The sequence below is a fragment of the Homo sapiens genome, chromosome 1 (assembly GCF_000001405.40).
Source record: "Homo sapiens chromosome 1, GRCh38.p14 Primary Assembly".
Lineage (NCBI taxonomy): Eukaryota > Metazoa > Chordata > Mammalia > Primates > Hominidae > Homo > Homo sapiens.
In genome coordinates, this window is record NC_000001.11 from 92,081,576 (window position 1) to 92,094,282 (window position 12,707).

The window sequence follows — 12,707 nt, forward strand, 5'->3', positions numbered from 1 at the left end:
TACTTTTTTTTTTTTGGAGACGGAGTCTCGCTCTGTCGCCCAGGCTGGAGCGCCGTGGCGCGATCTCGGCTCACTGCAACCTCCACCTCCCGGGTTCAAGCCATTCTCCTGCCTCAACCTCCCGAGTAGCTGGGATTACAGGCACGCGCCACCACGCCCGGCTAATTTTTGTATTTTTAGTAGAGACGGGATTTCATCATGTTGGCCAGGCTAGTCACGAACTCGTGACCACAAGTGATCCGCCCGCCTCGGCCTCCCAAAATGCTGGGATTACAGGCGTGAGCCACTGCGCCCAGCCAGGATTCTACATTTTGAAGTGCTTTCTGTCAAAAACTCACCCATACTTAAGGCTCCGATAGCTATAAACAGAATTTATCAAAGTAAAAAAAAAATCCCTTTAATTTGGGACTATCTACTGGGGAAGCTACTTTGTCTCTACCAGGGAGGGACTGATGAAAAAGATGGAAAAAATAATACTAAAGTTGTTAACGTTTCTAGGGTAACACATCTAATTTATATGAAGAAAATGAGGTTAAAGTATTGCTAGTGAACAATTTATCCTTATCTTAGTTACAACTGAGGGTAGGACTCAGAACTCTCAAATTCTTATTATAAACAAAGAAAAATAGATGTAGCAAGGTTTTTTTTTAAAACAAAACAAAACAAAATGCTCACCCAACCACCTTAAATGCTATACTAAATTAATTTTCTCCAAGCATAGCAATGTCATTTATTTATTCTACAAATACTAATGAAGTATCTAGCACTGACCACGTACCTAGCCCGGTACTAGGTCTTAAGTAATAAACGTTAATAAAACATTGCTTTGTTGTTTGTCCTTACACTCTAGTGAGAGAGGAAATGGCTAAATAAAAGTGATAGTTGTGGTGGGGTGAGTTGGGAAGACTTTATAGGGTGACATTTGAGTGAGCTCTTAGGGATTGGTTAAGAATTGATTAGGTAAAGATTGGGAAGGGAGAGGTAGAGGATATCTAAACAAGGGGAATAACTTTTATGGAAGCACAGAAATTTGAAAGAGCTTGATTGATTTTGAGAAAGCAAGTCGTATTAGACTCTGCCAAATAGTAAGGAACAGAGACACTCCTAGGTTACCTGACGTGACAAGATATGTAGAGAAGTGAGGAAAAGTGGGAGACAGTTTTAGCTGTCAAAAAGCCAGCTCCAATGTAGAACTGGAAAGTTGTTTGGGATATGGTAACAGTCATACAATAAGACCACATTGACAAATGGACTGTTATTCAGGGCAGTGGTAAAAAAAAAACACTAATACTTATTGCCATCCTACTATTTGCTATACACTGGGCTTACATGAAATGTTTTACTTACTTCTCTCATGAATCCTGTGAGGTAAGTCTTGTTATTCTCATTTAACACAAGAGGAAACTGAATGTTAAAAAAGAAATGATGGTGGCACCTATAGTCCCAGCTACTTGGGAGGCTGAGGCAGGAGAATTGTTTGAACCGGGGAGGTGGAGATTGCAGTGAGCTGAGATCAAGCCACTGCCCTCCAGTCTGGGCGTCAGAACAAGACTCTGTCTCAAAAAAAAAAAAAAAAAGTGGTGGAGTCAGAATAAGAACCTTGGCAATCTGGCTCCAGAGACTTTCAAATGACTTGCCCAGGGTCACATAACCAGAATATGAACCCAAGCAGTCTGCCTCCTCTACAGTAAACTGATCTTCCAGTTAACTTTGTACCTTCATCTCCTCTTCTCTCCTTACCCATTTCTTTTTCTACCATAGATTTGCTTAAGAATGCTCTTCAGTGCCATCAGTTGGTTCATGTTTATTATAGAACATCTTTGCTCAAGTTCTCCTGCTTGATTACTGCATTGGCCAGTGGCTAACCTTGGTTTAGCCCATTGTCCATTCAGATGTGATTAGGATGTAGGGGCATGTGGTACAAACCAGGGCCACATATAAGTAATAAATAAATTTGGTAGCTTTATTCGGAAGGAGATTGCATGGCAGGCAATCAAAGTGACAGTAGGTAAGGGTGAATGGGTAGACTAAGACTGGATCACAGGGGCTTTCTTTCTCCAGTGAAATGTTTGTGATGTATCTAGAAGGAGTGGAGAACCATCGGTGTTTTTAAAATAGGGAATTAACACATTTTGAATCTGGAATTTAAGGAAAGGAAAATTGGAAACAAGGAGACCAGCTGGGAGATTTTATAGTCCAGGGATACATAATGGCAGTGGAAATGGAACAATTGATAGGCTTGGTGACTGATGACATGCTGGGGAACAGGGAAAAGGAAGCATTGAAAATGGCCCCAAATCTTAGGACATTTGAAAGGGAAACATGTAGGCTACTACCATACCACCCTGAACAAGCCTGATCTTGCCTGAAAGGGAGGTGTATAATGAATGTCCAGCAAGCTATATCCAGGAAACAACTGGAAATATGTCTGGAGTAGAGGAGGGGAGTTTGACTAGCAGATTGGTAGTATCACTAGCACCTAGTTATCCAAATATGAGAAAGAGCCAAGTTATTCCTTCCCTGCCAATTTTACCAACTCGTGCCAATTTTATTACGTAAATATATTTTAATTTTATCCCATCTTTATCACCATTGATCCTCTCCTGGCTTCATTCATCTGTGCGGTAGTTTTCTCATCTTCATTCTCATTTTCATCTAACTCCTCTTCTACACAAATTTATATATTTTGAAAAATAAATTTGCCATTGTTTCAAACCATTTGCAGGGCAAACACACCTGATAGCAATAATGTAGGCATACACTTAAAATGACCCTGTATGGTGGATGTACCTGCGTGTGTTGCGAGCTAGGGAATCTGGGAGTCGCCATCCCAGAGATTCGTTCCTTGTCTGTGAGGAACATCTGAGCTCCTGGGCCCATACTGTGGAACACAGGCTGTAAAGGGGATTGAAGCCCTGGGTTAGGGTTGTATGAAGGTTGCCAGGTGGAGGACATTAAAGGAAGGGGGTTAAGTGAAAATGCTGTATAAACTTCCATGCTGTTTGCAAGGGTTTGCAGTTTTCCTGCTCAGTCCACCACCACTGGACTGTAGGTAAGGTGGATATCTTGTCCAGCCTGCCACCACTGGACTCTCTCCCCTGTATGTAAGCCCCTAATAAAAGCCCATATCTTGTTTGCTGGCTCTGGGTCTCTTCAGCCTCTGGAGCCTGGTGCCTTCCCTACTGAGGTTAATAGAGGTTCAGCACACACAATTTTATGACTCCTCTTTCACTGTAGGGTACAGTTAAGCTCTTTGCCTCTTATTCATCTTTATCTCTGCAGCTTCATCTGCCACTTCGCACCCTCTCAGTACTCTGTGCTGACCAACATATAGTTCCACACTCACACATATCTTTGTAAGGAACATGGAGCCAGGCACTTACTTACCTTGCCTTAGTTCCCTAACCAGCTCTTACTCAGTCTTTAAAATCCCATTGGGTTTTCATGCCCTCTGTGAGGTCTCCTCTTTTGTCTGTCCCTGAACAAAATTTACTTATGCTATTAAATATATCACACACTTTAATTTTCAGACCTGGCTTCCCTACTATACTATAAACTCCCTGAGGATAGGTATTATGTTTTAGTCATCTTTATGTTCCCAGTGCTTAGTACATAGTATGTGCTCAATAAATGTTTAGTGCTGAGTTTTATCGGCAGTGTAAATTGCTTTAGATAAGTTATGCTATGGTTTGAATGTTTGTCCTCTCAAAACTCATGTTGAATTTTACAGGCCTGGCTGGGCACGGTGGCTTATGCCTGTAATCCCAGCACTTTGGGAGGCCAAGGCGAGCAGATCACTTGAGGTCAGGAGTTTGAGACCAGCCTGGCCAACATAGTGAAACCCCATCTCTACTAAAAATACAAAAACTAGCCTGGCATGGTGGTGCGCACCTGTACTCCCAGTTACTCAGGAGGCTGAGGCAGGAGAATCGCTTGAACCTAGGAGGTAGAGGTGCACACCTGTACTCCCAGCTACTCAGGAGGCCGAGGCAGGAGAATCGCTTGAACCTAGGAGGTAGAGGTGCACACCTGTACTCCCAGCTACTCAGGAGGCTGAGGCAGGAGAATTGCTTGAACCCAGGAGGTAGAGGTTGCAGTGAGCCAAGATCACGCAACTGCACTCCAGCCTGGGTGACAGAGTGAGACTCCGTCTAAATAATAATAATTTACAGGCTAGGCAGGTGGCTTATTCCTGTAATCCCAGCACTTTGGAAGGCTGAGGGGGATGGATTGCTTGAGCTCAGTGTTGGGGTGATCAGACCCAACACCAGGCCTTTGGGGCTACAAAGTTCGGCAGAGTCAAAGGAATGAGACGACATAAAGTGGGACCAGGGGGCCAATGCTAGTATGGAGGCTGTGAAGGCCCTGAGCTCTGGAAGCCCACGCTGTTTATTGGTGATCAAAGAAGCAGGTAGTGAGGATGTAGGGGTTGAAAGAAAGTGGTGTATCAAGCGCATGATCTACAGCTGTGATGGTTTAGCATTTTCTTTGAAGCATATGGAACATGTTCTGCTATTTGAGATAGTGGGAAACATGTTCTTCTGGTTTAAGATACAATTGATCTATGAGCCTGGGAGTGCTAGAAGCAAGGAGCCAGAGACCACAAGGGGTTTTATGCCCTGAGCCCCGGATTCCATCCAAGCCACTAGGGGTTTAATGCCCTGGGCTTATATTGTGGTGCGGCAGGGCAGCCTTCCACCCTTTGGCACAGAGCTTGGTGTTCCAAAGGCCACAAGGGGTTTTAGACCCTGGACCGCAGACATGTTCCAAAATCTTTTACATTATGTCAGACGTGCAAGCCCTGCCTCAGCGTTTTTCCCAACACTCAGCTTTTCCCCAACACTCAGGAGTTTGAGACCAGCCAGGGGAACATGGCAAAATCCTGTCTCTACAAAAGATACAAAAATTATCTGGGTGTGGTGATGCATGCCTGTGGTCCCAGCTACTTGGGAGGCTGCGGTGGGAGGATCCCTTGAGCTTGGGAGGTGGTGGTTGCAGTGAGCTGAGATGGTACCATTGCACTCCAGCCTGGGCAACAGGGCAAGACTCTGTCTCAAAAAAAAAAAGGAAATTTGATTGCCATTGTAGCAGTATTAAGAGGTATGACCCTTAAGAAATGATTAAGCCAAGAGGGCTCCACCCTCATGGGTGCGAGTGGTAGTGTTATAAAAGGATGAGTTTGGCTCCTTCTTGCTCCCTTTTATCCTCTATCCTTCTACATGTGATGACTTAGCAAGAAGGCCCTTGCAGATGCCAGCACCTTGATGTTGGACTTCCCTGCCTCTGGAACTGTGAACCAATAAATGTCTGTTCATTATAAATTACCTATCCTGTGGTATTCTGTTATAGCAGCACAAATGGACTAAGATAGGTGAATACAGTAGTGGGCAAAGATATGAGATGGAAAGAAGCTGGGCCTTGGCATCATTGAGACTTCTCCAGTCTGTCCTTCCTCTGGACTTTACTATTCGATGGGCCAATAAACTCCTTAATGTTTAAGCCAGTCTAAGTCAGATTTTCAGATTTGTAACATAACAAAATATACTTGAAACTGATAAAAATGGTTCTATCAAATAAAAAACACTGTATTTTCACATTAACAATTTTATACACACTTTTTTTTTTCCATTTAGCAAGTACTCATGAGCATCTGTTAGCAACAAGGTGGGTTCCCTCCTGATGGTTGTATGGCTACCAGCTGCAGTGCTTCCTTATTCACTTGAGGGGTGGGATGGGGGGAAGGAGGGTGGGAGGAAAGAACAAATTGAGTGTTTGTAGAGTTTCTATTTCAATTAAAGTTTGAGAGTCCAACACATTTTTGTGTAACTTTAAAAATTACTTATGAAAATAATTTATTGAAAATATTGACCAAACTAAGATGCATCTATTTGGCCATTATTTTCAAGGTTCTGAAAGCTTTTATGCTCTGAAGCATTTGTTTTGTCTAGGGTAAAATAGGATCATTTAATAAGAAGATACTGAACTCTTGCTGTATACTGAAGATACAGTTTTTGTCCGTGGGGAGTTCATTGTCTAGTGGGGAGAAAGACATGTAAAAATAATAATGATGCAATGACAGAAATGCTATAATAGAGGTATGTACTGAATGTGATGGGATTAGAGGAAGGAGCCATTAACTTGGTCCTGGGGGAGTATGAATGTCATTGGCTGCTTTCCAAGCTTTCACTGTAATGGGTATCTTTATCAGTTACTTGTACCTCCTGTAGTGTACTGGTATTATTGCCAGTTTTATATATCCTGTAATACAGAAGTCCTCTGAGAATGCATACCTTGCTGATGATATTGCTATAGTGATATGAAGTTTTATTTAATATTTAGAGAGTAAAATAGTTACTGCAAAGAGGCAAAAGATTATATTATGACATTTTCTATTATGTTGATTTCTATTCTTCTATCACTCACGTATACATGTAATCAGTGGGCTTTACAAGAACTATATCTGTACATTAGCAAAGGGATTTGAAAGGATCACGAATCCATCATTTTAATGATAGATTAGAGCATAATTCTATTTGTGGGAGTGGGAGACTGGAAAAGAGAGTAAATGTCACATTTTTGACAGCCACACCTGGATTTCAGACTTGTTAATTAACATTAGCCAGAACTAAGTACCAGTTTCTAACCTGAATTTTCTACTGATATGTGTGGTTTGTTGCTGTCATTAACTATTAACTTTTTTTTTGCTTCAATTTAAGTAAGATTTTAAAAAATTGATTATTTTAAATAATTAATGATCATGTCAACTTTGCATTTTAAAAATAAATCTAAAGAAGATAGTATATCTAAAGGAAAATCAACATAAGTAGCAGAAAATATTTTTTTATTATCAGAAGGAATTCATAAGTAAATATTTTGAAACAGTAGTCTTACTCTTTTAGTGAAATTGTCTTTGTTTTCACTATGAATTTTAGAAAATTAGGCTCTAAGCCAATGTTAAACAATGTTTTTTGGAATGAACTGAGAACAAACTCATTTTTGTATTAACTTTATGTTGCCTCTGTATTTTTTAGCTTATGTGTTATTTTAAACCTACTTTATAAAAATATGTATACGTTTTTTAGTATCACTAATTAAACTATGATTCCTTTTTATTCCTTATAGGCTTCTAAGGGAAGAATTCCATACAGATGTTACCTTCTCTGTGGGTTGTACTTTGTTCAAAGCACACAAAGCAGTCCTTTTAGCAAGAGTTCCTGACTTCTATTTTCATACTATTGGACAGACATCAAATAGTTTAACAAATCAGGAGCCTATTGCTGTGGAGAATGTTGAAGCTTTAGAATTTAGAACGTTTTTACAGTAAGTGCTTTCTTTATCCATGTAAGTCTAATATGTAATTGCTTATTTTTAACATGTATGTTTTTATTTAATATATTTTCATATGTATTTTGTAACCTGATAAGAAAAATCCATTCACTTAAATTCCAAATTATCTTAGTAATTAGTGTTGACAGAGGCTAAGTGTTAATATTAGTACTAGTAGTACTAATATTAGCTTAGTACTGGTAGTACAATATTAGCTTAGTACTGGTAGAGGCTAAGCATTAACCTAAGACTGATCCTGAGAAAAGGGAAATGGTGTGCTCTCCAGTAATTTAAATGAATTATTCTATTCCAGGGTTTCTCAGTAGTGGCACTACTGGCATTTCAGGTTGTATAATTATTTGTTGTGGGGACAATGCTGTGCATTTTAGGATGTTTAGTTGTGACCGAAATGTCTCCAGACATTGCCAGATGTCCTCTGGAGGTCCTAATTGCCCCCTCTTGAGAACCGTTGCTACGTACTCACTCTGTATTGTTGGCATGTGAAACTTTAAAGTATGTATATTTATAAAAATATAACGTCATAACTGTTTTTATTCTCATGGCTTATGTCTTAGTCCATTTGGGCTGCTATAACAAAATACCTTAGACTGGGTAATTGGTGAACAATAGAAATGTATTGATCACAGTTCGGGAGCCTGGGAAGTCCAAGATCAAGGTGCCAGCAGATTCAGTGCCTGGTGAGGGTTAGTTCCTTGAAGATAGCGTCTTCTCTGTGCCCTCACATGGCAAAAGAGATAAACAAACTTTCTTGGGTCTTTTTTATAAGAGCACTAATCTCATTCATGAGGATGGAGCCCTCATGACCTAATCATCTCTCAAATGTCCCACCTCTTCATACCACCACATTGGGGATTAAGTTTCATCATATGAATTTTGGGGTTGGGGGGACACAAACATTCAGACCATAGTAACTTGTATTTGGTCAAATTGTTTTTTGAGAACAGAACATCAATTTGACTTTTTAGTAATTTTGGGGACTCATGTTTGAACTCAGAATTGTCATCAGCTAAATAATGGGAGAAACTAGTTTAAATTAATCTTCATTCTGTACTTTATTTCTTTCTGTTGTTGCATATTATTTCATTGTATGGCTATTCCATATTTTGTTAATCCATTCGTTGCCATTTAAATTGTTTCTATTAATACTTTTTGGCTATGATGAATAATGCTGCTATAATACGTATATACAAATTTTTCTGTGAACCTGTGTTATTTTTCTTGAGTATATACCTAGGAGTGGGATTGCTGGATTATATATATGGTAACTATGTTTAACCTTTTGAGAAACTGCTGAACTGTTTTCCAAACTGGCTATAATATTTTACATTCCCACTAGCAATGTACAAGGGCTTCAGTTTCTCCACATCCTCGGCACATTTGTTGTTATCTTCTGTATTTTTTTATTATTACCCTCCTTGTGGATGTGAACTAGTATCTCATTATAGTTTTCATTTGTATTTCCCTGATGACTAACGATGTTGAGCATATTGTTGTGTGCTTATTTGCCATTTTTATATCTTTGGAGAACTATCTACATCCTTTGCCCATTTTGAAATTGGGCTGTCTTTATATTATTGACTTCTAAGTGTTCTTTATATATTCTGTAATATTAGACTCTTATCACAAATATGATTTATAAATATTTTCTCCCATTCTCTGGGTTGTCTTTTCACTTTCACGATGGTATCATTTATGACACAAAAGTTTTAAATTCTTATGTAGTCAGGCCAGGTGCGATGGCTCACACCTGTGATCCCAGCACTTTAGGAGGCCGAGGTGGGCAGATCACCTGAGATCAGGAGTTTGAGACCAGCCTGGCCAACGTGCTGCAACCCTGTCTCCATTAAAAACACGAAAAAATTAGCCGGGCATGGTGGCGCATGCCTGTAATCCCAGCTACCTGGGAAGCTGAGGCAGGAGAATCACCCGAACCCAGAAGGTGGAGGTTGCAGTGAGCTGAGATTGTGCCACTGCACTCCAGCTTGGATGACGGAGCAAGACTCCATCTCAAAAAAAAAAATTTTTTATTATGTAGTCTAGCTTATGTAATTTTTCTTTTGTCACTGTGCTTCTGGTGTGATGGCTAAGAAACCATTGGCCTAATCTAGGGTTTTGAAGATTTACTCATTAATATGGTTTGGATTTGTGTCTCCACCCAAATCTCTTGTCAAATTGTGATCCCCAGTGTTGGAGGAGGGGCCTAGTGGGAGGTGATTGGATCATGGGGGTGGATTTCCCCCTGGCTGTTCTCATGATAGTGAGTTCTCAGGAGATCTGGTTGTTTACAAGTGTGTAGCACCTCCTCCTTGTTCTCTAGAGCTCTTCCTCCTCCTCCGGCCATGTAAGACATGCTGCTTTCTTCTTCGCCTTCTGCCTTGATTGTTAAGTTTCATGAGGCCTCCCCAGCTATGCTTCCATGCCTTCCTGTACAGCCTGGGGAACTGGGAGTCAATTAAACCTCTTTTCATTATAAATTACGCTGTCTCAGGTAGTTCTTGATGGCAGTGTGAGAACGGACTAATACACTCGTGTGTGTGTGTGTATGTGTATGTGTGTGTGTATGTATATATTTTTTTGAGACAGGGTTTTGCTGTGTTTCGTAGGCTGGTCTCTCTTTTTTTTTTTATTTTTAGACGGAGTCTCGCTCTGTCGCCCAGGGTGGAGTGCAGTGGCGCAATCTCGGCTCACTGCAAGCTCCGCCTCCCGGTCGCCATTCTCCTGCCTCAGCCTCCTAGGCTGGTCTCTTAACTCCTGGGCTCAAGTGAGTCTCCCGAGTAGCAGAGATTACAGGCATGTGCCACTATGCCCAGGTTACTCCTATGTTTTTTTCTAAGAATTTAATGTTTTTATATTTTTAACTCTTACATTTATAGGTCTTTGATCCATTTTGAGTTAATTGCCATGTATTGCGTAAGGAAGGGATCTAGCTTCATTCTTTTGTATGCAGATATGCAGTTGTCACAGCACCAATTTTTCCTCCTCCTCTCCCTTCTTTTCCTCGGATTGTCTGGACACTCTTACTGAAAATCAGTTGCCCATTGCTGTGGACTGCAATTGTCTCCACCCAAAATTTATATGTTGAAGCCTTAACCCTCAGTGTGATAGTAGGTGGAGACTGGGCCTTCAGGAGTTAGGTTGAAATGAGTTCATGAGGGTGGGGTCTTCATAAGGATTAGTGCCTGTATAAGAAGACTTAGGGCGGGTACAGTGACTCATACCTGTAGTCCCAGCACTTTGGGGGGCTGAGGCAGGTGGATCGCTTGAGTCCAGGGGTTTGAGACCAGCCTGGGCAACATGGCAAAACCCAGTCTTTACCAAAAATACAAAAAATTAGCTGGATGTGGTGGTGTGCACCTAATAGTCCTGGCTACTCAGAAGGCTGAGGTAGGAGGATCACTTGAGCCCAGAGGCAGAGTAGTTAGCTGAGATCATGCCACAGCACCAGCGTGGGCCTCAGAGTGAGGCTATCTCCAAAAAAAAAAAAAAAGAAAAGAAGAGGCACCAGAGAGCTTGTGTGCATACTTACTCTATCCCTGCCATCCAAGGACACAGTGAGGCGATGGTGTCTGGAAGCCAGGAAGCCCTCACCAGAACCCAACATACTGGCACTTCATCTTGGTCTTCTAGCCTCCGAAAACTGAGAAATACATTTCTGTTGTTTAAGCTACTCAGTCTATGGTATTTCATTATGGCAGTGTAAGTTAATTCACCCATAAATGTGAGGGTTTATTTCTGGTTTCTCAGTTCTATACCACCGGTTTGTATGTCTGACCTTAATGCCGGTGCCACTTATCTGTTTTGACTTTCATGAGAAGTCAGTTGGATTTTCGGGTTTTTATGTCCTTATGTATCTTTTATATGTCTAAGAAACTTCTGGGATATCTGTCCTTATATCCCAGACATTTTTTGGATGCCAGTCTTTTAGTTATTTGCTAACATGGTTTTTGCCTATAATCAAAATGACATTTACATTAGTATAGAAAATTATCTTTGGATAATTATATTTTAAGTGTATTTATGTGATTGGCTTATTCATTTTATGCTTTAGCAGTTTCTTTAATGACTTTTTTCTTTATTATTTCTGTTTCATGTGTGAAGCTCCTGTGGAGAGCATAAATGGAAAATTGCCTAACCTTGGCTACCTGTGTTCATTAAAAGAACTTAATATACTATAATTTAAGCAGATACTTTAAGTACAACTTAGAAAATCACTATCATTTTTCAGTACAGGTTATATAGGCTCATCATTGAGTTTGAAATACCAATTTTTTTTTTTTTTTTTTTTTGAGACGGGAGTCTTGCTCTCATTGCCTAGGTTGGAGTGCAATGGCATGATTTCGGCTCACTGCAACCTTCACCTCCCAGGTTCAAGCAATTCTCCAGCCTCAGCCTCTTGAGTAGCTGGGATTACAGGCATGTGTCACCATGCCCGGCTAATTTTGTATTTTTAGTAGAGACAGGGTTTCTCCATGTTGGTCAGGTTGGTCTCGAACTCCCGACCTCAGGTGATCTGCCCACCTTGGCCTCCCAAAGTGCTAGGGTTACAGGTGTGAGCCACCGCACCCAGCCGAAATACCAATTTTAAAGTGTATGCTTTTTTCTCCTAGTAGGTGATAGAGAGTTGTTATAAGAACAAGCTTTGTGATGAAGCCAGTTCTACCACTTCTGTATGAACTTAGACTAATCACTTACCATTAGTTTCCTCCTCTGAAAAATGGGCACATTAATAATTCTTATAGTGGTGTTGTGAGGGTTAAATGTGATGGTTATAAAGCACTTAGCGCAGTGGCCTGGGCATGTGGTAAGCACTGAATAAGATTGTTTTATAGGTAGTGACTTCAGATATGGCTCAAATGATTGTCAGTGGAAAGTTGAGCTTGCTTTATTATCTCATGATTATTGTGTTATTCATAGTAGTAGGTGCTATGAAATTATACATTTCTTCAGCTGTTGAATGTATGTTTAAAAGAAGATCCTTGGCATAGATCAAATTTTTATACATTAGAGAAAGGGAGACATTACATCAATGATACCCTTTATTTGTTATCATTAAAAGTGATTGGAAAAGATTGAATTAGACCCAGTATGGGAGAGTGGAGGAAGCACTGGACTTGGCAGTAAGACAGATCTGCCTTCTTGCTGTGCATTATCTTGTTTTATTTTTTTTCAGCCTCAGTTTTCTCATTTCAAAGAAAGTAGTTGGAGTAGCTGGCTTTGTGCTTCATAGCACTTCACAGTGCTCTATTTCAAGCACTAATCATATTCTGTTTTGTATTAGGTTAGTCGTGTGTGTCTGTGATTATGTAAGCTCCTTGAGATTAGATTGTCTCACTGATGTGCACATCTCCATTGGTGCCTCA

The 12,707-nt window shown here is 40.4% G+C and overlaps 1 protein-coding gene across 5 annotated transcripts in view, besides 1 other annotated feature; it reads left to right on the top strand.

Annotated features, from left to right (window-relative positions):
• The window catches only part of BTBD8 (BTB domain containing 8), a 104,379-nt gene that overhangs the window by 1,231 nt on the left and 90,441 nt on the right, over positions 1-12,707 (top strand). For all 5 annotated transcript variants that reach the window (XM_047418461.1, NM_001376131.1, XM_047418464.1 and 2 more), the window contains exon 2: positions 7,123-7,320. In XM_047418461.1, the coding sequence (XP_047274417.1) occupies positions 7,123-7,320 (198 nt within the window). The remainder of the gene's footprint in view (positions 1-7,122; positions 7,321-12,707) is intronic.
• Positions 43-710: an enhancer, noted in NCBI's record as "H3K4me1 hESC enhancer chr1:92547175-92547842 (GRCh37/hg19 assembly coordinates)". NCBI's record gives its function as "activates a minimal SCP1, AML or CMV promoter by ChIP-STARR-seq in primed H9 embryonic stem cells {active_cell/tissue: H9 hESC(primed)}" and the evidence as "EXISTENCE:reporter gene assay evidence [ECO:0000049][PMID:30033119]".